This window comes from Homo sapiens, chromosome 13 (assembly GCF_000001405.40).
Source record: "Homo sapiens chromosome 13, GRCh38.p14 Primary Assembly".
NCBI lineage: Eukaryota > Metazoa > Chordata > Mammalia > Primates > Hominidae > Homo > Homo sapiens.
The window spans coordinates 106,468,035-106,496,029 of NC_000013.11; the positions used below are offsets into that span (position 1 = coordinate 106,468,035).

At 43.3% G+C, this 27,995-nt stretch overlaps 1 protein-coding gene and 2 long non-coding RNA genes across 6 annotated transcripts in view, besides 6 other annotated features; 1 reads left to right on the plus strand and 2 right to left on the minus strand.

The window, feature by feature from the left end:
* Window positions 3,713-11,138, minus strand: LOC105370346 (uncharacterized). Its single transcript, XR_002957491.2, has 2 exons — window positions 10,879-11,138; window positions 3,713-6,177 (listed from the first exon to the last, which is right to left on the minus strand). It is a non-coding gene; the product is annotated as an uncharacterized LOC105370346 (long non-coding RNA).
* Window positions 3,739-4,938: an enhancer, noted in NCBI's record as "P300/CBP strongly-dependent group 1 enhancer chr13:107124121-107125320 (GRCh37/hg19 assembly coordinates)". NCBI's record gives its function as "activates an origin of replication core promoter dependent on BRD2, BRD4, P300/CBP, MED14 and CDK7 cofactors, with strong dependence on P300/CBP, by STARR-seq in HCT116 cells {active_cell/tissue: HCT116}" and the evidence as "EXISTENCE:reporter gene assay evidence [ECO:0000049][PMID:35650434]".
* Window positions 4,107-4,401: a silencer, noted in NCBI's record as "tiled region #9098; HepG2 Repressive non-DNase unmatched - State 20:ReprD, and K562 Repressive non-DNase unmatched - State 9:DNaseU". NCBI's record gives its function as "represses a minimal TATA promoter and a strong SV40 promoter by Sharpr-MPRA in HepG2 and K562 cells {active_cell/tissue: HepG2 | K562}" and the evidence as "EXISTENCE:reporter gene assay evidence [ECO:0000049][PMID:27701403]".
* Window positions 5,216-5,903: an enhancer, noted in NCBI's record as "H3K27ac-H3K4me1 hESC enhancer chr13:107125598-107126285 (GRCh37/hg19 assembly coordinates)". NCBI's record gives its function as "activates a minimal SCP1, AML or CMV promoter by ChIP-STARR-seq in naive H9 embryonic stem cells {active_cell/tissue: H9 hESC(naive)}" and the evidence as "EXISTENCE:reporter gene assay evidence [ECO:0000049][PMID:30033119]".
* Window positions 11,218-12,417: an enhancer, noted in NCBI's record as "MED14-independent group 3 enhancer chr13:107131600-107132799 (GRCh37/hg19 assembly coordinates)". NCBI's record gives its function as "activates an origin of replication core promoter dependent on BRD2, BRD4, P300/CBP and CDK7 cofactors, and independent of MED14, by STARR-seq in HCT116 cells {active_cell/tissue: HCT116}" and the evidence as "EXISTENCE:reporter gene assay evidence [ECO:0000049][PMID:35650434]".
* LOC124903247 (uncharacterized) lies at window positions 20,411-21,766 on the plus strand. Its single transcript, XR_007063940.1, has 2 exons — window positions 20,411-20,601; window positions 21,261-21,766. It is a non-coding gene; the product is annotated as an uncharacterized LOC124903247 (long non-coding RNA).
* EFNB2 (ephrin B2) overlaps window positions 21,711-27,995 on the minus strand; it is a 45,918-nt gene continuing 39,633 nt past the window's right edge. For 2 of the 4 annotated variants that reach the window (NM_004093.4, XM_017020406.3), the window contains exons 3-5: window positions 27,714-27,806; window positions 26,847-26,960; window positions 21,711-25,394 (exon numbers count right to left, since the gene is read on the minus strand). In NM_004093.4, coding sequence (NP_004084.1) covers window positions 25,006-25,394; window positions 26,847-26,960; window positions 27,714-27,806 — 596 coding nt within the window. In that variant the 3' untranslated portion in view covers window positions 21,711-25,005. The remainder of the gene's footprint in view (window positions 25,395-26,846; window positions 26,961-27,713; window positions 27,807-27,995) is intronic. The other 2 variants (NM_001372056.1, NM_001372057.1) reach the window with 2 other exon arrangements.
* Window positions 24,446-24,946: an enhancer, noted in NCBI's record as "H3K4me1 hESC enhancer chr13:107144828-107145328 (GRCh37/hg19 assembly coordinates)". NCBI's record gives its function as "activates a minimal SCP1, AML or CMV promoter by ChIP-STARR-seq in primed H9 embryonic stem cells {active_cell/tissue: H9 hESC(primed)}" and the evidence as "EXISTENCE:reporter gene assay evidence [ECO:0000049][PMID:30033119]".
* Window positions 25,094-26,293: an enhancer, noted in NCBI's record as "CDK7 strongly-dependent group 2 enhancer chr13:107145476-107146675 (GRCh37/hg19 assembly coordinates)". NCBI's record gives its function as "activates an origin of replication core promoter dependent on BRD2, BRD4, P300/CBP, MED14 and CDK7 cofactors, with strong dependence on CDK7, by STARR-seq in HCT116 cells {active_cell/tissue: HCT116}" and the evidence as "EXISTENCE:reporter gene assay evidence [ECO:0000049][PMID:35650434]".

Below are 27,995 nucleotides of genomic sequence, written 5' to 3' on the forward strand. Positions count from 1 at the left end.
AGTCATGTATGGAGAACTTCTTTTAACTTTCCCCTAAATTATCTAAGTAGACAAACCCAGCTGCCTCAGTAAATGATTCATTGAAAAGGCAGAGATTACAACCGAAGTGTTTTCCTTGACCCGGGAAGTGATCGGAATTGGATCGTAAGTGAAAATGCCAGATTTGCAGTGGCCTCAGGCACATGCCAACCTCCTGGCATTGCAGCAAATGCCAGGCCTCTCTTGCCAAAGTGAAGCTGGGGGTTTGCATGTCCCCGGTTCACCAATGTGGGCCACAGCCTTGGCTGATAAGATTGTCAGAAGCACCAGCCATTCCAAGGAGACGACTGAGAGCCTTGGGTGATGAGGGCGCCTTTCAATTAGCACTTTGCTCTGCCGAGCCAGCCGGCCAGTCTGCCAGCTGGCACAGAGCGGACCATCGGCAACCCCAGCCTGGGCAGCACAGCCAACTCTGTGAAAAAGAGACTGCAGTTAACACTGGCAAGTAACAAAAACAAATCAGAGAGGGGAACTGGGAGACAGGTGGTGTGGGGGGCCCTGGTGGGGCCAGCCATCCCTGAAACTCCTGCCTCCAAGGACAGGGGAATGTGGCAGGAGCATATGAGAAGTTCAGGAGTTCAGACCTGACCCTTCTATACGAGTTGGAAACTCACCATCCTGTGTCTCCATCTTAGATATGGTTGCCTCAATCTTTCCTGTAAATCTATGTCTGAAATAATCATGTTGACTTTTTTGTAGTTTGGGATACAAGACAAAATATATTTTAGACTAAAAAGTGTAGGTGAGTTGTTTTTTAAAAAAGAAAAAAACTCTAACAACTATTGACATGATTCTTAGCAATCTTCCTTTCATGTGTTGCCTGGGAGACACCACCGTGCACTTCGAAAGCTCCCTCTTTCTTTAGAAAACTGCCGCCTGTATGAATGGCACTTTTGCTGCTTTTTATTAACGTACAATGGAGGAGGCAGGTCATCGTCACAATTCCATAGAGAGAAACACCAGCTTCTTGCAGGTGTGTGGGCAAGATTCACAGGTGTTTCTGGAAATCTAATCTGGGCACAGGGATTTGTCCTCATCGGCACATGAAAGGTGTCGACGCCTTCCTTGAAATCTGCCTGCAAGGAACAGTTCAGCCCTTGCTTGGCACCAGCCATGGTGAGGGCAGGGCCACAACATGAGATTCCTTTGCTGTCGAGAAATCACCTTGATAGCAACTGCTACTGTTCATAACAGCATGGAAGCCGGCCCTGGCGTTGCGCACACAGAGCTGGTGAAAGCCTCCATTACCTCTCCCAGTGACTCCTGCAGACACACGGCACCCGGGGAGAGGGGAGGTGACGGGCTAATAATTGGGAGTGATAAGGAGCTGCTAGGGGGCAGGGCGAGGGCTTGTCCTGTGTCGACTCTGACAGCGATCAAAGCCAGGCCTTGGTTCCTCAGCTCTCCATTTTGCTAACAGTCTGAAGAATACAAAGCGAAAAGCAAAAGATGCCAAGAGCAGTGTTGCTTTTGAAGGTGAAGGCGCACTCTCCAGCCTGTTTCTCTTGGTAAGTGAAGACAGGAGCAGCAGAGTCTATGAACAAACAGGGATTTCTCTTCTGTTTTGGAAACCCTGAGCACGCCAAAAATAAATTTCGGTTTGTTGGTTGGTTTGACATCTAGTTTTGTTTTGATCACTTGAAGGGAAGAGCGGGGAGATCATAGCTGGGCCTTGGGAGAAACAGGGAAATTCCAAGGAGAAGGTTCCAGGGGGAAGAGGAAGTTCAATTTTGAAAAGTGTCTTTTATACCAGGCCTCCAGAATTACTAGGTGCTTTATTCGGGTCTAAATAAAATCTTATTGACTACAATAGCAGCAATAAAAAGAAACAGAAAATCCCCATGCTGTGTTACCCCCGTTAACACTACTTGTTTTTAGATGATTTAATCTCATAAGCATGAGAAAGCAAAAGCGCTGAAATGCAGGGGGCACCTATTTGGTTTATTCCTTACTCCGCTTTTTTGTTTTGTTTTGTTTTGTTTTTTGTTTGTTGTTTGTTTTGTTTTTTTGAGTCAAGATCTCACTCTCGCCCAGGCTGGAGTGCAGTAGCGCAATCTCGGCTCACTGCAACTTCCGCTTCCCAGGTTCGAGCAATTCTCTTACCTCGGCCTCCCAAATAGCTGGGACGACAGGCGCGTGCCACAATGCCTGGCTAAGTTTTGTGTTTTTAGTAGAGATAGGGTTTCACCATGTTGGCCAGGCTGGTCTCAAACTCCTGACCTCAGGTGATCCTCCCACCTTGGCCACCCAGAGAGTGGGGATGGTTTATTCCCTACACTTCATGCCCAACTTTTTCTTATTTGAAGAAACTCTGAAGCACTTTTTGCTTTGAATATATTAAAGCGAAAAAGAAAAGAAATAATTAGTGCATTATCCTTACCAGCATCCTGTTTCCTAATTCTAGAGAAAATATTTTTACTGAAAAATAAAACTTCTCTTCCAGTGATGCCAGTGCTGGCTGCAGTGTCTCCTCCATTTCGCCTTGTGCTCTGACCCCAAATGATTCACCTCTCCTGGGATTCACAGCCAAGCCAGCCCCGACAGGGTCTCCGATATTTAGTGAGGATCCTTTCCTGCTCTCTGTTCCTTCTTGACCTGTATCTCCTGTTTCCTAAGGCCTGTGCTCACCCTAACTGATGCCCCTGCTAGGGACAGTAAGGGAGAGTGTGGTTAGGTCCATTTGTGGAAACGCCCACACGAGTGTTTTAAGCAGATTAGGATCCCATTGGATTCCTCTTGCTCATTGAAGCCTGTGTATGTTGCATCTAAATAACACAAAATACAACAGCTGAGACATATTGAGTACTCAGCATGTGCCAAGCACCTCGGAGCATGGTCTCATGTGTGCCTCACGACAGCTCTGTGAGCGGTGCTCTTACCACTGAAGAGAAAACTGAGGCTCATGGAAGTAAAGGAACTTAGCTCTGGTCACAGAGGGGGCAGAGGGAAGAGCTAGGATGACAGCAGTCGGCCTGACTCCAAAGCCCCTTCTCTGAGCCAAAACAGTGCATCCAAGCCATTTTTAATATCACAGCTCTTTTTTTTTTTTTTTTTTTAGGTGGAGTCTTGCTCTGTCACCCAGGCTGGAGTGCAATGGTGCAGTGGCATGATCTCGGCTCACTGCAAACTCCGTCTCCCAGGTTCAAGCAATTCTCCTGCCTCAGCCTCCTGAGTAGCCAGGATTACAGGCGCCCACCACCACGCCCAGCTAATTTCTGTATTTTTAGTAGAGATGGAGTTTCACCAGGTTGACCAGGCTGGTCTTGAACTCCTGACCTCAAGTGATCCACCTTGGCCTCCCAAAGTGCTGGGATTACAGGCATGAGCCACCAGTCCCAGCCAGTATCACAGCTCTTAATTTGAAAAATGGAATGTTTGACTCCCGTAAGTCCATCAGCAACATCAATGAATGCTGCTTTCTAGTGGAACTCCCCCTGTAATCATCACACTATTCCACAAGACACAGGGAACTACGTTGTTCTTTCTATAAAGGTATAACATGAAATGCCCCTTGGTCACCAACAGAAAATGCGAGTGTCCCCACAACACCTTGCAGTTTTGGCAAATGCCTTAAAATGTCATTGCCGTTAGTACAATGTACTTCTGAATTATACTAGATCTTGTTACTTAAAGAGTTAATCAAGAGGCACACGTAGTACTAGATCACAATTACTTCAATATTTTGATAACTGTATTTCAAGATATTTGGTTTCCTTTGATAGCTGTTTCAATATAACTGGTTTCCTTGGTGCCCGATGTATTTATGTTATGGGTTTAAAAATATTATTCTTAGAAGGGGCCCACGGGCTTCATCAGACTGCTAAAGAGCTTCTTGGCACAAAGGTTGATTAAGAACTTCTTCTACACTGCCTCTGTTGCATGCAAAAATCATGCCTCCTCAACCATGAAGTGATTTTCTTTAAAATGGACATGTCACTTCTCCTTCACGGGGGAGAGTTGGTTTCACAGATGAGGCATACCCTTAATGCTGGGAGGGTGTGGCCGGCAGGATCTGCAGGGCCCAGCCGACTTTCTAATCGGTCTGGTTTCACCTAAGAGGGCAGCCCCACCCGGTCTCTGAGTCAGCTGTGCACAAAGCAGTCGGAACTGACAAGGTAAAGAACGCCTGACTCCTCTTTACAAACCCCAGGCTCCATTTAAACTGCAGATTCCGCGGGCATTTCTTCTTATCTAACTCCGCCCTGTGGGTTCCCAGGCGCTGACTCCCTCATCCTGCAGTTTCAATCCCTGCCTTGACTCATCCTCCTGGGCCTGCCTCTCCCCTCCAGAGTGCCTGTTCCTGCCTGCTCGGTGACTGAGCTGATCTCTCTAGGAATGACCTGTGTGCTGATCAAGCCGACACGTCTCTTTGCTTCCCGACGTCCTGATATGGCAGCAAAGGGTGGTAGAATGAAGTCATTCCTGCAAAAGAAGCTGTGAGAGGAAATACAGATGCAGTGGCTGAATATGAAAGTGCTTATGTTCCCAAAGGAAGAAAATGCTAAATCTCAATTAGAGGTTGGAAGAAATAATGACGCAGTCTTTTTACTTTTGTTCTTGCTTTTGTGTGTAGTTTTGCTTCTTTTTTTTTTTTTAATCTGTCTGGGTTTGCAAATCTCTGAATAATATCCACAAAGCCATCAGGGGTTCCAGGTTCCAAACCCTGCCATGTGTGATGGTAAAGGTGGCTCACATTTCCCAGGTCCTCCTAAGCTGTGGGTAGAACAGGCTCCTGTTTACACTCATGACTGGAATTTCCCTAGCCCGTCTACCTCCCTTTTAAGCACCTTTAAATTCCCCTTAATCAGTGTAAAAGTTCTCTAGGAAGGTCTTACGTGTGTTCAACAAATTCCTCTTGACTACAAGGAGGTGGTCACCATTTTCCTCCTCTGCTGCTCCAGCTAACTGGGTGTTATCCAGCTTCCGGTCCGTAAGGAGTGACCCAGTGTCCTCTGAAGTCCCCACCCTAGTGACATGCCTACCAAGGGCCATGGCACTGTGGCTGTGGCCTGAAGTCAGCCCCCAGCATGGAAAGCTGGGCTGAGCCGTGCTTTTTGAAGGGAGCTGGTGGGACACAGGCCCGGCTTGTGGCAGCACGCTGAAATGTTTTCTGAATTGAAGTCGTGTGCTCTCACCGCACAGCAGAGATGGCAGTGAGACTGCTCTTCAATGTGTACATTTCCTCCATTTCAGTACCTTGCTCAGGCCTCTGACGGCAGCATGTGAGGGCTGAGGGCCAGGCCAGAGCTGAGGGCGGAGTGGCCAGCAGTGTGTGTGCCCTCGTGCATCAGGTGTCCCTGCTGACCCTGGCATTTGGCATTGAGTCAGGCTGATAAGCCTTGTCTCTGTCTGGTTTTCCGACAATCCTTTCCCAGGAAACCTCTTGGGCAAGTTTGCATTCACAGCCTCAGGCACTGGGACACAGGTTTGGGGTGGGCTAACCCACCTGGTCCTCCAGCAGCCCTAGGCAGTCGTGAATCCTGCGGGGCTGCAGTTGAAGCGCAGGCCCAGACCCCGTCTCCCCATCAGGGCTGAGAGAAGCTGCGCCGTCCTGGAGTGAGTTTCCCACGCCCGCTGCTAGAAGTCCAGTTCAACAGAACAGAGCCGGCCAGAGCCTTTGGGAAGGTCTTCACGGCAGAAATGGAAATTGTAGTTTCTATAAATGTTTGCCAATATTCTTTTTATTGGCATATTGTACCCATAATAAATTATTTGGAACTGTTGTCAGTTGTAACTCAGTAATTATTATTAAGACAAACCCTATGGGGGCTGCTAATTTGCTCTTATGCATTGGCATTGCAATTTTTTTTCTTTTTTTTTTTTTTTTTTTGTTTTGAGACGGAGTCTCGGTCTTTTCTTCCAGGCTGGAGTGCAGTGGCATGATCTCGGCTCACTGCAACCTCCACCTCCCGGGGGCAAGCAATTCTCCTGCCTCAGCCTCCGGAGTAGCTGGGATTACAGGCACCTGCCACTGCACCTGGCTAATTTTTGTATTTTTAGTAGAGATGGGGTTTTACCATGTTGGCCAGACTGATCTCCAACTCGTGACCTCGGGAGATCTGCCTGCCTCGGCCTCCCAAAGTGCTGGGATTACGGTGGCTCACGCCTGGCCTGGAATTGCAATTTTGATGCGCTACCCTGAAAGGAGAAGTGAGAGGAAGCAAATGCTATCATCCTTGGTTATGACTTTTTTAAAATTAAATAATTGTTAAAAAAAAAAAAACTATCTTTACCATTCACTGAATCTGCTGTATGTAAATGCATCAACAATAACAAATGCAACAAAAGCAAACAATCTTATTTCAGACAGTGCTGTTTTAAGCACTTTACTTATATGCAACCATATAACCATCATGACAGCACGAGGAGATTGATACTGCTAGTTTCTCCATTCTGCAGATGAGGAAACTGAGGCACAGACTTAGAAACTTGAACTCATTCTGAGGCAAGATTTTAAGAACTATAACCCTGCGGATGCAAGAATGTCTTCTCGCTTGTGAACTGCGTCAATGGCTTTAACACCCATAGTACACTGAACTCCTTTTGAGGATCTTAAAATTCCACTGCCAGTGTTATTCATTCACACTATGGATTTTGACCTATTGGAAATTGAGGAAAGTAGTGAAATAAATGTAATGAGGCAGGTTGTTTTTAAAACTGGAAGGGAACAAAAATATATACAAAACATCAGATTACATCATGTATGATAATAGTAAATTTTTCATGAAGTTTTGCTTTAGTTGTGTGGTGTGTGTGTGTGGTGTGGTGTGTGTGTGGTGTGTGTGTGTGTGTGTGTGTGCACGTGGGTGCATGCTAGGTAACCGTGTAACCTAGCTGGGTTGCAGTCTAAAGGATTTGACAAACACTGTCCCCAGCCAGGCAGGGTTGTGAGAGTTTGGGCACTTGCTGAGTTAACTGACCCTCCCGGCGAACGTGTAACTGGTTCCTTATCCTTATCTGAGCTGAGGTATCATACCACTTGGCCTCTGCAGCACAATGCCAGCTGTGAGCTTCTTTCACAGTGAGAGGGAAAAAAAAGCATATTATCTTCATGGCATGAGTTAAGCACAGACCCCAGAAATGGAGCCCCCTCCCTCCTCGGCATGACTCACCTGTGATGCTAATCACAGAGGAGCTACAGCAAGCCTTCCTTGTCCTCCCTCCCTCCCTCCGATCGCCCCTCCTGAGGGGACCTGCACTGGTGTTTCTTCTAGGGTAGAGACTTTCACCAACCTGGCAACTTGTTAGAAGCTGGTGGATGTTATCCCAGGAGTGCCAGCCCAGTGGAGGCCCCACGTCACCCTCCCTGGGTTCTAATTATGGGGATCCTTGCCTACCTCCTCTGAGACGTGAAAACCACTTTGTGATTGACTAAGCCATCTTCATTCTTGTATTTTTCATGCTCCTGGCTTAGGAGCCGGCATAGTCACAGCTCATTGCATATTTGTTGAATTTGTGAGGTTTTGATTTTGATGTGTGCAAACATTTCGAGACATAATTTGAACGAATCATTAAAAAAGTAAAATTATTAGCTGAGCATGGTGGCATGTTCCTGTAATCCCAGCTACTCAGGAGGCTGAGGCAGGAGTATCCCTGAGCCCAGGAGTTTGAGGCCAGCCTGGGCAACATAGTGAGACCCCCATGTCTAAAACCAATGCATAAATAAATAAAAGTATTTAACAATTTCTTCAGAAAAACGTACAAAATGTAAGTACCTGGCACATAACATGTTTTGAGATGCGGTGCATGCATAGATCTATGCTAGGAAATATAAAGCGATCCTCAAGAAGACAGAACTCCTGGCCTGTTAAGCTGTGTTGTTTCAGCCTAATGTTGTCATCTGACCCTTGTACTCAGAAACTTCTCAGGCTGTCTGGACCCAGCAGCAGCACGGCCTGTCTCCAATCTTAAACCTTTGTGCGAATAGCTTCATGACTATGAGTCTTTGTTACCTGTTTATCATAAAATTTGGAAATCTGAATCACTGGCAGAAAATGTTCAAGGAAATTGCTGGCTGTTGTTTGGTTGAGAGATATGAAAGAGTTAGAGAGTTATACTCTTGGCCATGGTTCCACTTACTGTTTACCTTTCTCTCTAAGAATGCAATGCTGCCACAGGACAAACTTAAGAATGGAGTGACGTTTTTTTTGTTGCCATTTCACATAACCTCTCAAACTTTCTACATGTCCTTATTATTGCCTTCATCGTAACAGCTGCTTACGTTTAATTAGCCAACACATTACCGTGCTCTGAGAATGGGCTGTGCACTGTGAAAATCTTTCAGATTTACGGTCTCATCTGAATCCTAGGAGCCCTTGTGATGTATGTACTCCTCTCTCCATTTTACAGCGAGAACACTTAGGACTGCAAAGTTTATGAGATATGCTCAAGGTCACAAACCATTAAATTACGGGTCTGAAACGCAAATCAAGATGTTTAATTCCAAACCTTTCTTCTTATCCTCTGCTACCCTAGTTGACTGCCCAAGTCCTGGGGAGGCACCCGTCAGCCCAGGACACAGAAATAGCCTCGCCATTCTAGTTTGCATTCACAGCCTCAGGCACTGGGACTTCTGTGTTTTTGTACCACAATACAGCTAATGTTTTGTTGTTTTTGTTTGTTTGTTTGTTTTCTGAGATGGAGTCTCACTCTGTTGCCCAGGCTGGAATGCAGTGGTGTGATATTGGTTCACTACAACCTCCACCTTCCCAGGTTCAAGCAATTCTCCTGCCTCCGCCTCCTGAGTAGCTGGGATTACAAGTGCGCACAACTGTGCCGTCTAATTTTTTGTATTTTTAGTAGAGATGGGATTTCACCATGTTGGCCAGGCTGGTCTCAAACTCCTGGCCTCAAGTGATCTTCCTGCCTTGGCCTCCCAAAGTGCTGGGATTACAGGCATGAGCCACCATGCCCAGCCACAATACAGCTAATGTTTTAATCTGCCCAGATAACATAATCTCTTGATCCAGTGTTAAAGGAAAATGTTCCAAAAATGGATAGAATCTTGACTCTTGTACAGATACAACAATGAATACACAGTAAAGATTTTACTTAACTCATTAATGAGAAAATGGTAAGATGCAACAACCAGTTTCAAGAAGAATACAAAGGACAGACGCAATTTTGCATCAGGAATATAGAAACAAACGTGCAGATGAAGGAAACCAGCTTCTTCCCCGGCTGGGGTGGCAAGTCCATTGAATGTGTGCATCTACCAGGCAGAATTTATTTTTCATGTCTTCAGACAACATTTTGCATTGCTGTTGGTCATCTATAAATTATAGAGTCATAGAAGAGTTCAAAGGAATGGAAAGCTGGGAACCAGATAACCCAGAATGGTGTGCTCTCCACCAGGTGTCTGCAAATCTGGCCCCCACCTGTTTCTGTGAGTAAATTTTTATTGGAACACACCCATTTGTTTACTTATGGTCTACGGCTGCCTCCCGTCGCCACAACAGAACCAAGGAGTCACAGCCGAGGACCACATGGCACACACGCCTAATATCTTTACTATCTGGCCTTTTCAGGTGAAGTTTGCCAACTCCTGCTTTATATAATGAATGGCTTTCCACTGAAGCACACAGTTTTCCTTATACCACCTGAAACACATGGCTTTGTATGTTATGCAAAGCAGGTGGCAAGGATTCTAAGAATTTCTTTAAGAGCAATAATTGATTAAGGGAGATATTTAGTGTGTTTTGTTTTGCTGGGGCTGACATAATGAAGTGTCATCAACTGCATGGTTGAAACAACGGAAAAGTATTTTCTCACAGTACATGAGGCTAGAAGTCCAAGATCAAGGTGTCAGCAGGGTTCATCCGAAGACTGTGAGGGAAGAAGCTATTCCAGGCCTCTCTCCTTGGCCTGGAGACAGCCGTCCTCTCCCTGTGTCTTCACACCGTCTTTCCTCTATATGTGCCTATGTCCTGATCTCCTGTTCTCATAAGAACATGTCATATTGGATTAGGATCTACTCCAGTGATTTCATTTTCACTTGATTAGCTCAGTGAAGTCCCTCTCTCCAAATAGTCATTTGAGGTACTGGGGATCAGGACTTGAACACAGGAATGTTGGGTGGCACAGCGCAGCCCCTCACATTTGGTGAGAGGGTAATCTGCGTGCCCACTAAATACACTGTGAAGACGGCCAGATTCTCTTCCACCCTGTGAGAATGATGCTATAGTGGCTCTGCCAGAAGTGGACTCAGCAACACCCCATTAATTCTGGAACTCGCGGGTGCCTCTGCTCCTGCCCTCCTCCTCATTTAGAAAAGTCCTGCTCTCCAGCAGCAGCTGGCACATGTAGAATCCTGACACAGGGACGGGAACTTTCGCAGAGATGCATTCTGTGTATGCTTTTAATATAGTTACCATATATTTTGTCTTATTGTATAAGCCAGGTATAAACCAGGAAAAACTTGATCTCCTTTTAGGTCTGAATCAGCAGTATTTTAGTATGAAGTATATATTGATGCTGACTTAAATAATGAAGGCAGGAAAGTCAGGTGCAAAGAATGTTCTGTCCTTACTCTGGGAAAAAAATGCATATGGATTTCCTCTTCCCTTGGAGATATCTAAAGATGCTGTACAATGTGTACTCCTCTTGGAATACCTTTCAAGACCCCCCGTGGATGCCTGAAACCACAGATAGTACTAAACCCTGTATATACTATGTTTTTTTCTATATGTTCACAACTAAGACAAAGTTTAATGTATAAATTAGGTACAGTAAGAGATCAACAAAATAATAAAACAGAACAATTATAATGATATACTGTCATAAAAGTTTCGTGAATGTGGTCTCTCTCTCTCTCAAAATATCTTATTGTATGTTACTCACCCTTCTCCTTGTGATGATGTGAGATGATACGATGCCCGTGTGATGAGATGAAATGAGATGAATGATGCAGGCATTGTGACATGAATAAACAATTCCAGAAATAAACATGCATATGTTCTAAATGGCGTCGGTCTTAGCAGCATGATGGAGCCTGGTGCTGTCTGCATTCAGCCTGGATTGCCATTAGCCGCTTAGTAGCTTTGCCTTGGTTCTCTGATCAAGCATTGAGGTATCACAGCGCTGTGTTCAAGTAACCTTTATTTTAGGTCATAATGGCCCCAGAGCACAAGAGTAGTGACATAATAGTTTCAGAACTTGGTTGACTAAGGGTAACTGAAACTGAGGAAAACAATAAGGAGGGACCACTGTATACATAATGTAATGTTGACACTAATGTTTGCATGCCTATTAAAAGAGGTGTATTTAAAAAAAAAAGTCAGCAACGTAGGATTATTTGCGGTCAAGAATAAAATCTAGGGCTGGGCACGGTGGCTCACGCCTGTAATCCCAGCACTTTCGGAGGCCGAGGTAGGTGGATCACCCCAGGTCAGGAGTTCAAGACCAGCCTAACCAATATGATGAAACCACGTCTCCACTAAAAATACAAAAATTAGCCCGGCGTGATGGTGCACAACTGTAGTCTCAGCTACTAGGGAGGCTGAGGCAGGAGAATCACTTGAACCCAGGAGGCAGAGGTTGCAGTGAGCTGAGATCTAGCCATTGCACTTCAGCCTGGGTGACACAGCGAGACTCCATCTCAAACAAAACAAAACAAAAACAAAAACAAACAATAAAACCTATCACAAAGCCAAGTCTTGAGATCAGCTATATCTCAAGATAGTATGAAATAGAGAGACACTATTCACAGATCGTTACTGAGTGCCTATTACCTTCTAGCCCCTTTTGTGCGTGTTATTCCCACTAATCTCATGGCAGCTTTCAAGGTGGGTGTTCGTAGACCTCTTTTCACTGATGAAAAAACTGAGGTTCCGGGAGGTGAAGTAGCTTTCTCAAGAGCTCGTAGCTAACACGCAGCAGCATGGGGTTCCCACAGAGCCCATCTGCAGTGGAAACGCACCCGCAGCTGTCTTTTGGGAATGTGCGAGGATGACGCTGCATTTTTGAAAGAACCTCCTTCTATATCAGATACGCCATGATTTGGGCTGAACAGGAAGGCCTCCGCTGGCCGATTTTGCACGGTGCAGGATGAAGGAGGAGGTGCAGATGAGCATCATTGCCCGCCACTGGATTCCTAGCACAGGGGGAGAGATCTCTGGCGGGCCGAGCCTGCTCCTCCTTGCAATGTGATCTTTTTCTAATGTGTTTTGATAATGCTCTGTGGGGCCTCCTGTAGCTCAGATCCACGGAGCGCAAGCCCTATGAGCTATTTCCTTGCATGTGGAAATTGGCAAAAAGAAAGGGAAAGAGCCCGAAAGAAAACAAACGGACTCCATTTTCTCTCTTCTTGGTTATGACCGCTAGCTATTGATTGCCTGTGTTTGCTGAAGTAATTAGAAACCTCGCCCAGTGTCTCAATTCCTATAAGAAAAAAATGAGAATGTTCATGATGTGAAAAAAGAGGAAGGAAGAAAAGAAAAACAAATTATGCTTATCCTTACTGTTCTAGGGAACCACAGCCAAAGCCGGGCCTGCATCTGGACAGCAAAGGCATAGTTTGAACGTTGCAGAGAAGCTCTCATTGCCAAGAAAATATTTCTATATTGACTTGCTATGAGCTGATGTTTTACTGGGAAAAACAAGAAAAACAGGGACATTATCTTCAGAAGACCTGAGTTAAATAAACCATATGTTTCCTGAGCAAGGCCTTCTAACCTTTAGAAACTGTTCATCAGATTAGATAGTTGAAATCTGGGGGTGGAGGAGCTGGGATACTAAGCAGGGAGACCAGTGGATGTGGTTTATGCCAACACAAACTCTGTAGCTGGGTGATGAGATGAGGGAGGAGGAGCCAGGAGGTACCCAAGAATCTCAGAAGGCCCCAGGACCCACGGCCTGGACAGTTTGGGAGGAAGAATGAAGCAGAGGTGCGTTCAACTCATTCCAAAACAGCCCCGCTATTTCTCCAAGGGCTGATCCTTTTGCCAGTCTTTCTGTTGAAAGTCTCTGATTGTTGGCTTCATCTCTATTTTTGAACCATCTGTATTATATGCAGACAAGCAAGGCCCAGACAGGCACTGAAGAGGCGTAGAGGGAGTAGGTGTTGTTTCGTAAAAGGACTCATTGGAGGATCAGTGGAGCCTTACCCTAGACAGAGTGGGCAACCTCCTATGTAGTATGATCTATGGGGTTTGAGATTTAAGCTCAGGTTCTAGAACTAAGTTATTGTCCAAGAAAAAAAAAGTATGTATGTATAAACATACAAATCTCCTTATCCTCATCCTCCCTTCATATCTGATCACTAAAATTATGTTAGACAGTTTAAGTCCTTTAATTGAAGAGATTGAACCTTGTTTATTAAAAAGGAAAGAAAAGAAAAGAATAAAAAGAAAAACCCCATGAGAGGGAAACCTTCGAGCTGTTATCAACCATTCATACACCAGCAATCTTCTGTTTGCAGGGGAAAAAAGATTCTTGGGTCACACCAGCTCTATAGAATCTGAATCTCTGGCTTCGGGTACAGGGAGTTCTACTTTAAAACAGGGCATGAAAGTTTACAGAACTTCTTTAGTAGGCTGTCATAACTCTCAAAACAATCACTTATTTCCCTAAAATTGTAATTTTTAAAATAAACAATATTTATTATTCTGAAAAGATTATGTTTCTCTTAGAAAACTAAGATTACTACAGTGGGCCGTGATTGCTATTTTCACAGCAGCTCTATCTTAGGTGCTTTTTATGTTTCCTGCAAAGCTTCTGGCACAATTTTAAATAAATGGGAAGACACTTGGGGAGATAGTAAATATTTGGCAAAATAAATAAAGCACATGCCTTTCAATTTTTCTGTATAACTCTTAACATATCCTCTTACTGGTTCAAAAAGGAGAACGAAGTAACAAAGTATATCACATTCATGAGAGAATTACTGCCTAAATCTCATTAGATGAAATTTCTATTAGATCCGGAATACTCGGTTTTGTTTGTGCTAGCAAGATAACTGACTGCAATTACATGGCTTACACTTAGGCGTCTTCTCTATTAAAAGCAAAAATACAAATCTCTCTGCATCATGTTCCCAGGTCCACAGCTCAAGATCACATGCTCTGGTCACACTAGCAGATATCAAGTCCTATTTTAGTAGCAAATACACTAATGAAAGAGCTCTTATGCATCCACAGCTATGAAACAAAAGAGGTCTAAACTGTAACAAGGGGGGGCTTCAGATTATTTGACATATATTTATGTATTACATTTATTTCTAATTTCCACAGCTGGCATCAAAGTGATATGTAATGTTTCAACAGTTGTTACTTAAAACAGAGATAGTACTTTAAATACAGTAACACACAAACAAATTAAAGGCTCCTTTTAGTATTAATCTGTTTCATCCTATTTGCCTCTTGTAGGTTGTAAAGCATATCACAGAGTAAAAATGTAAACAAACCAGAGAAGAGAAGAAATGGAGTGGAACACAAATTATGTGTTCAAACCAGAAGTGAAAGAGGAAGGAAATTGGAAGACAATCTGGCAGTATCTATCAAAATTTCAAAAGGCTATTTCCTTTCATACAGCAATCTCACCACCAGGAATTTAGGTGAAGGATATATTTGGAAAAGTACCTTGAGATGTCAAGTGTGTGTAAGAACAGGTAGGCTTATGCTGTGGCAACAAACAATTCCCCAAATATTCCGGCTTAGCATGTTCATTTTATTTATTATGCAAAGAGCATAGTACCGCAGGTCAGTGGGAGGCTCTACTCCACAAAGTCACTCAGGGATCCAGGCTGACCAAGCTTCTATCATCTTTGAGCTGTGCCTTCTAGAACTTGTGATATCTATAGTCACTACAGCAGGAAAGGAGGAGCACATGAAGATCCAGCACCTGTTCTTTTATGTCACCACATCATTCCAGCTACGGCCCATTGCCCTCAACCTATGTGCAAGTGAGGCTGAGAGAAATAGTGGAGTACCTCGATTATCTGATGAGCCCTCCTGTCTCTCCACAAACCAAAATATGTTCATGAAGCAGTATGCAGAACAGCTTAAAAACCATATTTTGCCTGTAGATGATGGACAAAATAAACAAGCATATTATGTGGCAGTTTTTTTTTTAAGTAGATCTGAGCGTGCTGATGAGGAATGGTCTCCAAGACATATTACTTACCAAAAATACATGGCATAAAACAGTATTTCTGATGTGATCTCTATAGAGATCATTTAGAAACACTATTTATATGCAAGTGTGTGCATATATCATTTTTCTGAACAGATAGACAAGACTGATTATGCCAGTGCTTACTTTGAGAAATGGAGGAGGGGATGGAAAAGGAATCATAATTTTTAATCAGATAAAGTTATAGTGTTATTTTTACCCACATTTTAAAAAAAACCTAAAAAGATAAATTTAATAGATTAGATAGTAGATTATATTATGAAATGCTTGTACATTTTCTCAAGACTGATAATGGCATTGTGGTTATACAAGAGGGTTTCATCTTCCGAGATGCTGACATGTGGGAAGAAAGTATTGTGAGATCTGAAAATTCTTCAGCCAAGGAATGTGTGTACACATCCATATACACACATACACACATACTGATGTACATAGAAACACACAGAGCATGAGCATATGTACAAAGTGCTGATTATTGACTCTACATAGAAGATAGCTGGGAGTTCATTGTTCTGTCTTTCAACTTTTCTGTATATCTGAAAATTTCCAAAGTAAAATACTAGGAAAAATAAAAAGAACCAAAGGGATAAAAAGCACATCACCTGCAAACAGAAAGCTCCACAGATCTCCAGTCTCCCTACCTTAGGGCTCTGCAGAGTTCATAGGTAGACATACTTGAATGTCAGAAATCAGATATTGATATCCAAAACCAAGAAGCATCACAGAACACGCGGGTGCCGATGGTCTGCAGTAGAAAAGTTTTCCCAAAGGATTTCTGTTTGCTGCTATAAAAAGCTGGGGTGACCTTATAAAGCATTTGCCAGACTCTTCAAACTGCCTAATCACTGTTGTAATAGTAGTACCTGCTTGGCCGGCGGTGCTGGTTAAAAAATTCTATTGCCATATTTCAAACACTTTTCTGGAATCTGTTCTTAAAGTTAGCATAATTGAGACTCAAAAACAACGCACAGGGGATGAAAAGCCATGTGGCTTTAATCCATGTTCTCGTGGTCCCTGAGGCGATGGTGACTCAGGGAGAGAGCATGTCCCACCAGGCCATCTTTAGGAGGTGAGGACTTGGTATGCCACCTTTCCAATGGACAGCTGCCTCTCCCTGTGGTTAACGTCCACAGCACACGAGGCTTTATTGGCTCCACTCATTGTGTTGCACACAAACGTTAATGCCTCCCACTTTTTCAGCAACTGTTTGCAGCAAAAAACCCAGTCCCGGCAGCGCGGCCTCAGTGGGAGCTTCAGAGACCAAACTATCAAGGTACATTTTCCATTGTTTAGCAAAGTACCCGATAGTTTTGGAAATGGAGAATGGTGCTTCCACCATGCTTAAGCAGACTTTTTTTTTTTTTATATAAGCCCACGTGTGACTGCTACACAGAATACGAACTTCTGACACAGGCACTCCTGGAAAATGTTTTTCATCTTTTCCTGACACCCAGCCAACAGTGTGGAGGAATAAACTGGTGTAAGTTGAAGTGTAATTAATGCCGTCATTATTTTTATCTGAAATATTTAAGGGAGTTGGTAGGAGACCCTTATCTTTTCCCTCCCCTTTTACAAAGACGGAAGTTAAGAGGCAGGGACCTGGGTTTATGCAGGAGGAGCCCCGCGTCTGCTCGTCTGAAATGCTTATGCTGCACGTAGCTTGTAGGTCACTTTGGCAAACACCCCAGATACTCAGACTTCCTTTTTTTCCCTACTGTTTTTGGGTCCAGGGCTAACTACTGTTAGCGGACATAAAGTTCTCTGCAATTCTTTCCTCAGAACCAGCTACCAGAAAACTACCAATTATAGCCAAGAAACAGTCTTTCAAATACACATACACATTGTAATGTGGGCTGGAAACCAGTTGGAAACTTTTTGATTTGCCCTTTAAGGCTGGAGGCAGGCACTTGAGGCAAACTCCTAAGACGTTCTGAAGAGCAGAACAGCGATTCTAAATTTAGCATCTTAACCAGCCAGTCGGCATACATGTAATGAAAGATTTAAAAGGAAAGAAATTGAACTGGCAGTAACAGAAGATACAGGTGGATGAAAAGACAGCTACAAATAGACAAACACCTTCCTAAAACAATGCCCAAGGAATTCAGACCTAGAGCAGCTGTAAGCCTTCTTCCTTCCTTTCTCACCTGCATCCGAGATGCCTAATTGCTGTTCATGAGGTTTTAAAATTCCTAAGTGGACCGTGAGTTCCCTCATAGGAGGAATCCTGTCTTTCATGTTATAATCTCTAATATTCAGCACACTGCCTGGTAGATAGTAAGTGCTAAATAAATGATGTTATATGAGTGGACAAATTAATGTGTGTGTGTGTATGCATGCATGCACATGTGTGTGTGTTCGTTATATGAAGCTTCTAGACTTATCAATAAGCAAGAATCTGCTTAGGTGAGCTCATTTTGAGTGTCTCAGGCCCATCTAATGAAAAGGTGCTAGCTGAGGGTGACTGAAACCAGTGCTGCCTCTGCCTCTCCCCACGGCTCCCTACTAACCTGTGTGTTCTCTGCTGAAAACAGAGATGAGATTTTTGGATTTGTTGTGTTTTATGAGCTACACTTCAACATTAGCTGCATGTAATTGACCTAAGTCTTAGGAAGTCTCAATGAGTATCCGAGGGAGTCCACGTTGCAGATGGCTGGCCTAAGTCAAGGACCTGCTATGTGGTTTGCCTTGGGTCACATGAAGAAACAGAAGTTCCAGACAGAGGTGCCCCAGATTCCACAGGTTCTATGCTTTCTTAGCATGTAAAGGAATCTAAGCTATACTAGTTATTCATGTAAAACAAACAAACAAAAAAGTTGGAGTTATGTGTATAGAAACCTGTCTCACATCTTTTTTGTCATCTTGAACATCATGCAGGTCACTCAGTTGATGAAGAACTAAGAGATCAAATACTCCTAGACCCACTGGAAGATAGAGCAAGCTGTGAGCTCTTCCTGGAGCATTTTTTCCCAGTTGATGAATCCCAGAGATAGAAATGAATTTTGACTACTTTTTTTCTTCGTTTAGTGTTGTGTTAATGAAGCCACTGCACAAAAATGATATACCTGAAGAGGATTCTTGGAGTATTCAGTTTAAGATTCTAGGTAATTTTAAGCAATTTGCTTTGAGGAAATTTATCTCCCCTACTGTTCTTGGACGTTTTAAGATAAGAGTCATCACGCCTTTTAAAACACACACACACACACACACACACACACATACACACACATACACACACACACACACACATAAACACATACACACATACACACACATACACACATACACACATACACACACATACACACACATACACACACACATACACACACCCCTGTAATCTCTTTATTAAGCATGAATGGCACTTAGTTAAGAAATAATAGCTCTATTATCAACTAAAAGATGTTTCTCAATTCTACAGTTTTCTGTCACAGACTACAGAATTAGAGGTGTAAATAATAAAGGAGGGATAAGGATGTGTTCCAGATACCAGCATGAACAATATTCAACAGGAAGTTAAATTAATCTTGAGTCTACAAGGAAGACAAAGTCAAGTTGGGCTAAGTTAACTGGTGGAAGGGGACACCGTGACCACCCGACACGTTGCCTGGCTCGTGGTGGGTCTTTATCAGACAGTCACGTAGAAGAGTGTAGCGAATGTGCTCGGACCCCGCCTGCAGTGGCCTGAAAATGTTTTTAAATAGAGATAAATGATTCCACTTAACAATTAGAGGGAAGGGCTGGCAACACCAGCTCAATCCGTACATATACATCGCTGGTTCTGAAGTCTTTTTGGATTTTGATTCTAGGGAGGGGTGAAGAGCCGCAGAGTCCTGGACCCCGGGCCCTGGGCAGCGGGTTCTTGCTGGAGGCAGTGGGTTCTTGCTGGAGGCAGTGGGTGGATGGGCATGCGCAGCTAAGAGGTGGGGCCGACTGGGCACCACCTCCGCAGACTTCAGAGCTGTGTCTGCAGCACACTAGGACACGGAGAAGCTTGCATGGAGATACTTTTGTACAGCTGAAAATGGTGATGGCTTTTTGCTGCGAATCCTGCAAAAAGGCAAAAGCGACCTTTGGTATCTTAGAATCCATCCCTCTCACTTTACAGGTGAGGCTCTGAGGCACAGAACATAAAAGGATCTGCTGAAGGTCACAGCATGAGTCAGTAGCAGAAATACAGCCAGAAACCAGGTGCCCCTTTCATGATTTAACACCTTTGTTAACTGTCTACAACTGGCCAGAAACTGTGCTGCTATAATTAGTATTATTTTCCTTGTGCCGTATGCCTGTGTACCTGGTGTATACCTGGAGAATTCTTGAGGGGGTTGGTTGTTTTTAAAGATATGGTTGACTTCATATGAACACTGTTTTAAAGAGATTCCACTAATCAAGTTATCAAAGTATAAAAATCTTAAGCTGCATGTATCGTTAGCTTTTGGGACATATCTAAAAATGGATTAACCTACCTGGTTTGCTATATTTTGTTACAAATAATGCAATATTTTAGTACCCCCCCCTCAAATCACTGATGAATGATTCTCTACCTGGAATAATGAATCGGAGTAGGAAATACTCTTTTCCATGACAACACTGAAAATTTGCCTTCAAGTAAGTGTATAGTGTAAATATCACAAACGTAATTCAAAAATCCATCCAAAGTAAAAACCAAAGCAGTAGCACATCCAGGCTAGTGTCCTTGGTGCTGCAGTAGCTACTGTGTCTCCTGAGCCACCTGAGACCTATTTGCTACCCAACCAAAAAGTAGGGTAATGGTCCTTTTTCTTTTTCTTTCTTTTTTTTTTTTAACCTACATTAGGAAAGTGAGTTTTACTACTCTGGAGTTTACTTTTTCTCTTGCTAATTCTTCTCTGGGTTGGGTTCAGAGACTGACAGTAAGCTGGACAGCAGTTACCCAGAAAGGAATACTTTATTTTTTCTCATTTCCATTGCGAACCTTTATCCCAGGGTTTGAATGGCCATCTGCTTTGCCAAAAAGGGAGTTGATAAGAAAGAGAGCTGGCTGCTGGCTGAGGGACGCTCGCCTGTGCAGAGAAGTAACGTGCTCAGAGCAGGCTGGGCTCACCTTTGAGACAGAACAAAGGGCATCTGGTTATACGCCCTCTGCAAGGAGCTTCTGCGTGTGTTCCTTCTTCCCAGGTGAAAAGAACAAGTGGACAAATCTTGTTTCTTAGCTGAGCTTGGCTTACTCAGAAAACGTGGTTTAAAAACAGGGTCCAAACCATGACATTGTGTATTCGGTAATTTATGTTGTAATAGGTACCACAAAGTAAAGGTTGAAAATGCATGATTTCACTTTGGTTCTTTTCTTTTGCCCAAACTAACTAGAAATGACCTTGGTGCACACGGTCGAGGGTTCAGCTTAGTGGCTTGGCCATAAAATTGCATCCATCAACTTGGATCTGCAACTGAAGGCAGGTGGGTGCAGCAGGAGAAAATCCTGGAACAGATGAAACTACGATTCTACCATCCACGAAAACCCTGGGCCTCCGGGGATTGTTGTTGTTGCTGATGAAGGGAGGCATTTATTTAACAAACATTTCTCTAGTACAAGTACTGTGCTAAGCTGTGTAGATCCCTGTGTCCAAACCAGCCTTTCTTCATCACCTATGGACTTTTGAAACATATGGTTTCTTCCACTGACTGGGGTGTGGTCCTGGGCAAGTCAGTCAGACCTGGGAACTCTTCTGGCTTGCTTCCTGACTCCAGGGGCCTTTTCCTATTCTCCCTACCTAAAATGTCTCACTCTTATGGCAGGGATTAACCTGAGATAATGTAAAGATGTTAGCACTCAGATCTCAAGGGTGTGAAGTTCTCTGCCATGGGTGGGGACTCTTGGTTGTTTAAAAAGCTACCCAGGAAGTATAGTGATCAGTCTTAATACCCAGGACTACAAGAGGCCTGAAAAACAATCACACCCCTCAGGGTACATAGTTACCTTCCCCAGGAAGATGACCACTGAAAGTGTGTTTTAAACTCACAGCTGGCCTCTGGCTTGCCTTCAACCAGTATCTCAAAATGTGCTCTCATCAATGTTAAGTTTTTACAAAAACATTTGACTTTTTCCTTCTCCCTAGGATTATTCTGTTAAGAAAAATGAAGCGATAGACCGCTGCTTTGCTTCTATGGACACTAGATCGATCTGGAATTAAGTGTAAGATAAGAGTACATTTCCCTCTTTTTCCTGAGACAGCTAACTTTGTAGGTAACTATTCTGACTGTGCAATTCAGGTGCCACTAGAGAGATTTTCTGTTGAGGATTATTAGGATTTTATACAATTGCATATTATTTTTGAAATGAGAGTTTGTGGTTTTATGGGGAATAACGAGCTCACGGCTCTTAGCAAAATTAATATTTGTGTGATGTGCACATCCCGATTTGAAAAGTGGGCACACAGTGTCCATAGACAGAAGTCTCTGGATTAACTGTAATTTTGGGGGAAATAGAGTAAAGGAAGGCAAATTAAAATAACAAACAAAAAAGAAAGAAAAATGAAAAGAAAAGAAGAAAAGTACTTTGAAGGCACTTTTTCCATAGGAAAAAAATATTTTATTTTTTTAAGAACAAATTCAGTTTGAAACAGATGTGGAATGTGACTTCACGGATTTCATTTTCTGGGGCTAACTGCAATGTGAAACTAAAGCAGATTTAAAACCTATGACAGGCTATTAAAATAAAACAAAGAAAGAAAAAAATATTTATAACTCAGGCATAATACTGTGTTACTTACAAATTGGACAACGAAATTTTAAATAAATATTCATGGTACATAATTACGGCACAAATATGCAGCAATTTGGCAACCTTTTATACCATTTTTTCCTCATTACAGTGCAAAGGGGAATGACACTGCCGTTAAACAAGCTGTAGCTAAATACATTGCAAAATTCAGATTTTATACAAAACATCTTGCTTAGACTTTATAAAAAACCAACATTGCTCTATGTACACAATCTGGGTAAGAAAAGCCATTTCTTTCTTGTTTTCATGTGTATTTTTATTAAAAAGGTGAATAAGGCTACTGTAACACCCCAAATCCATAGACAGTAAAATCTGAACCTATTTACAGCATCTTCACTGAAACATGATGGTGCAAATTCCAAAGTCGGGTGACCAGGGACGATCATACAAGCAAGGCATTTACAGTAACTTTCCAAAGCTAAACCAACTTCAAACAAAGGGACAGTTGGTAGATTGTCATATTCTGCACCAGACACAAAACAGACGCACAGAACACTTTTCAATTGGTTGCAGGGAACTCTTTTATCAATTCATCTGATTTTTCACAGTTTAGCATAGAACCAAAACGTAGCCAACTGATGATACATACATTTGATTTCATTAAAATCAGACTATTTCCCATTTTTCCCCTTCTCGCCCCTCTCCCCCATCCTAAAAGTAACTTCTGATGGCTTACAAGAAACTCTTGCATGAATGCACAGAAAGGAGAGGTTGGGGTGATGGAAAGAATTACATATGTACTGTGGCTGGTTACCATGGCAACCCTCCACAGAAATATGATATAGATATATATAATATATATTGTAGATATATATTATACATATATGTACACATGTATACCACGCACCCACTCACACATACACACACGCACTTTGGACCAACATCATTTCCAGGTTCAGGAAATAGAGGATCATAATTTCTGTGACAACTCATTTTTGCAGGTACTCACTGGAGGTCTGAGAACCTTAAAATGCTGTCGCTACATTTTTTTTCCCTTCCAATTCAGAAAGCAAAGTGTTACCATAGTAACAGGACTATGTTAAAGATGTCTATTTTGCATAGCACATAAAAAGTAGGTTTCCTGTTTACTCTTCTTGTTTCCCAGAAGGGAGGGGGTGCGGGGGAGGACAGGAGGAGGGAGCCACAGCTAAATCGTCACCTGAAGCCCCCAGTGTGACCTGCTGGATTCTAGAGAACACTTCAGCCCATAAGGCAAGGGAAAACCCAACGCAGAAATAAACGCCGGAACATCTTGTCATTGTTAAATATATGATGCAGTCACATCGGCTTCCTGCTCTGTGGGGCTCGTACTTCCTAGTCTACGGTTCCGTGAGATGCCTTCGGAGGACTTGGTTATTTTTGCATTTGCTCTCATTATTGTTCTTTTTGGAATGATGTTGTTTTTCCCAGAAGTAGCTGTCCAATTTGTTTTTTTAAGCGCTGAGCATTGGGACCACTTAATTGCCACAAATGAATTTCACATCTTCTGGTGTGTACTGTGTGCAACCTTAAAATATATATTAGTAAAAATCTTTCATTTTATATCCCTTGTGTTCTATATACCTATTATAAATACGTCCTATCTTCCTTCTCCCCCTGGACATCATAATTTACTTCCGTCTTAAGGACTCTAAGAGGTCTGCCGTATGTGCTTCACCTTGACACAGAGCACCGGGCGCTGCAGCCTCCATCAGTACCGACCCTGCAGCCCTGGCACCCGGACAGCACCGCATAAACCAAAGTGTCGTAAGGCTCAATCGGGAGGGGAAGGAGGAACCTGGGGGGAGGGGGATCTGACCTACCTTTTATAGATAAGGATTCTTTAATAACAACGATGATGATGGAATTACAGCCTGTTTGACCTTTGGCTTTTCAACTTTTAGGTCAGATTTGGCTCTCTGCTATTCTCCTAAATGCTTTCCCTGTGTTTAATAAAATGTGATAAGTATAGCAGCTGAGTCTGCTTAAAAAATCATCCAAAGCAGACCGACTCTCCTACAGCTCGGAGCTGTGTATCTTATTGCCAGTACCACAACAGTCCTGCCCGAATATATCATCAGCGGCCTACTTTCTCCCTTCCCTCCAAGCCTGTTCCTTTCCCAACAATACCCGTCTTTGTTCCCCGGAATGAAGAGGGGCTTTTCTTCCTGCACATCGCTATTTGATAACAGCGAGTGCCTCCCCATGCACTGGAATCCACTGTGTGTGCTGTCGTGTCTCCTACTGGCCTCTTCGATCTCAGCAAAACCAAAGTGCTGTGCTACCTAATTGCTTTTTTCTTTTTTCCTTTCCAACTTTCTGTTTCAGAGGCAGCAGCAGTGAGCTGCAATTGCAGCCAGCCCTTTCCCCAGCCCCACTCCCTTCTATGAACTCCTAGCCTTCTTCGCAGACAGCCTAGCATCTGGCTAAAGGGCACCTTGTTAGCAAACACAATTTCTATGAACGGATTACCCATGGACTGAAGCTGTTGTTGCCAGCGGCTGGAGGAGGGGACTCCAGACATGAGTGTTCCATGAGTGATGCAGATGTGGAGTGGAGGTCTCAGGTGAGGTGCTGCAGAGCCCTGGGTAACAGAACGAGTGAGACAGTAAGGACTAAACTCTAGAGATCTTTGCACACCTTAACTAGCCCGAGGTCCGTGTGACAAGTCCGGTATGCACTGCGGGGGAAATGCACCCCAGGCAGAAGCCGGCCCTTCCAGGCGTGGCATCCTGGGGCACCTGCCAGGATGCTCACAGCCCTCTCGTCCACAAACCACTGTCTTCCCTTGGCTTCTGCAGAGGCCTGAGTGACCGCAGCACATGGCTTCGAGGAGGAGACGTGGGACGCGGCACAGCAGTCCGAATGGGCGTCTTCTGCACAGTCTTCCAGCTTCCAGGGAGCGTGTGTGTTCACCAAGGCCGAATGCTACAAGACTAGGTAAGCTGTCCAGCGCGACGGGCTCTTCCGAGGAGGAGTGTCCCTCTCCCCCGGTGCTGTGCTTCAGTCAATTCTCCAGCACGCGGGCTCTCAAACCCTCAAGGGAGGCATCGGGACATTAGGTGTCCTCTGGGAAAGCACAGGTACCACCAGGGTCCCTCTCAGACCTTGTAGTAAATGTTCGCCGGGCTCTGCGGGGGCATCTCCTGGACGATGTACACCGGGTGCCCGTAGTCCCCGCTGACCTTCTCGTAGTGAGGGCAGAAGACGCTGTCCGCAGTCCTTAGCGGGATGATAATGTCACTGGGCTCTGAGCCGTTGTTGTTGCCGCTGCGCTTGGGTGTGGCCAGTGTGCTGAGCGACAGCGTGGTCGTGTGCTGCGGCGAGTGCTTCCTGTGTCTCCTCCGGTACTTCAGCAAGAGGACCACCAGCGTGATGATGATGACGATGAAGATGATGCATCCTGAAGCAATCCCTGCAAATAAGGCCACTTCGGAACCGAGGATGTTGTTCCCCGAATGTCCGGCGCTGTTGCCGTCTGTGCTAGAACCTGCAGACGCGGAGACAGAAAAGGTCAGAGATAGTTACTGCTGTCCCAGTGCAGACGGACTGCTTTTATGACCCTTAAAAATGTGAAAAATAAGCCAGGCTTATTACTAACTAGAAGCTGGACTTTGCCTCGCCAATACCTCGTCTAAGAGCTCAACGCAAAAGGAAATGAGAGGTATCTCTAGGAGGGACTTCCCTACCCTCCCAAGCCACAGGGTTTCCTTTGTATCATTATCCAGCAAGAGCACAGACTGTCGGTGACAGCCAGCCCTTGATCTTGCTTCATCTTCTAACCCGTGTCAGCCAGCCTGGGGCAGCGGCAGGGAAGAAAAAGGGAAGTGGCCAATTCTCCAGGTCAGCGGTGAGCGTTTATGTGGTATTGCTCTTCCGCCTCCTTTGAGAAAGGGAGTTTCATGCAAACCTTCAAAGGGCCTGCCTTCTAAAGAAGAGCCCTGCCTCCTGGCAGAACAGAACAGCTCGGGAACGCGGAAGGAGTGAGGGGGCCTGGGAAAATGTTCAGCTCGTAACTCGTCTGTATTATTTGATTTACACTTAAAATATATTTGGAAGGCAGCAGAAACTCTCACACCGAACAGACTGCCAGCCCAAATGTTAAGCACTAAAAAACTGCCTGGCATCATTATATTATCCATTTATCAGTTTGTCACAAGAATTTGACACATCTTGTCATTGAAAGTTAGAAATAACAACTTCCCTCCTTGACTCTTGGAAAGGGATGGAATATTGCTGCAGACGATAAATTTGCACAACGACCAAGCAAGCACACAACAATCCTAATACAAAACTGCTGATGTCTGCTCAACAGCTACTCTATAAAACCTTCATTAGCATGGTAACAAATACAGAACTATTTGTTCCAAGACTGTTAAGAAAACGAAGGTCAACGACGGACAATTTTATCTGGTATTCTACACTTTTGTCAGGGACCTGTTTAATATTTTCTTTTACATGGAAAATGTGAAACAAAATAACGATAACCACCTGAAAAAATACTATTATGCAATATTTAAAAATGTTACCATTTAAAATTTAGAAGAGGATCAATTAAACCCTCTGTGGCTTAGATATAATTAGATGAGGGATTAGCACATTAATTACATATACATTAACATCAGCTTTAAGCTGGAGTTGACAACCAGCTTGATAAAATGTCAGCCAATGAAACCTTTGGCCTGACAGAGTAGTTCTAATAACTGGCACTTACAGCTCATGAACTCTACTCCTTTGAATATATGACTTTCATTGGAATGAGTTATTTTGTTCTTATTGAGTGTAATTAATAATGACTCACTGACAGCAAAGATTCCTGATCACTGTAACTTCCAGCTAATCCTAACTGGTTAGAAGTCTTTAGACTCTGCCCTACCTTTTAAGATACTACTAAGAATGTGGTACCCACAGACCTCCATACACACAGATCATGCTGTTATACCTGGATTTGGTTTTACAAAGGGACTTGTTGTCGAACTTCTTCCATTTGTACCAGCTTCTAGTTCTGGACGTCTTGTTGGATCTTTATTCCTGGTTGATCCAGCAGAACTTGCATCTATATGAAAAACAAATGATTAATTACGGCACAGACATCTGACAATATCTAGCTTTAGGAGCTGCATATATATTTCAACAGGCATGAATAGCAATGAACATAAGAGTCTTTATGCAAAGTACTGTGAAATACAAGAATATAATTTTTCTTTTAAAACAAAATGGTTATACTAGTTATTTCAGAGGTTTAGAACGTGAGGCCATCTGTGGAAACTATAGGGATTCTTGCATTTGGCAGGCAAAGCATTGCAGATGACATTTCAATTTAACTGAGCAAGTTGATTGACTACTATACCAATTTTTAATTAGAAGAATAATTATTTCTTTCTGCACAATAGGTTATCTATATTGGAAAAGTCACAATGAACAAAACTCTTCTGTAGTCAAGATTCAGAAATGAGCAAAACTGCACAAGCTTTTAGTTTTCATTCTGGATATTTTGATTTTGAACCAAAGTGTTTTGCTTTTTAAAAAGAAATATCTATCTATCTATCTATCTATCTATTATCTATCTATCTATCTATCTATCTATGGCAATAGACATTCTACCTTGCTGATCTTAACTCTTAGATCTCCAATAAAAGCTTAGTACATTGACTTGAGGAAATCTGTCAGTGGCTCAAAGTGCAGAAGGGTTTGCTTTGAAAACTAAAAAGAAGAGCGAATGAAGGTGGGCATCGGCAACATTAGCACCATACTAGCTGGGGGCTACACCAGGTCACAGTGGCGTCATGAAGCAGCAGATGGTCTTTACCTTGTCCAACTTTCATGAGGATCTTCATGGCTCTTGTCTGGCACACCCCTCCCTCCTGGTTATCCAGGCCCTCCAAAGACCCATTTGATGTAGCTGATTAAAAATAAAATGGACAAAACAAAAAAATAAAGAAAAATCAGGAAATCAATAAGCCAAGTTTACATGAACATGAAATGTCTGAAAACAATTTGAAAAATAAGAATTCACTCTTAGTCACAAGTTTTCTGAAAGTATGGGGATGCTGAAAGCCAAAAAGAAAAAGAAAAAGAAATAAAGAGAAAT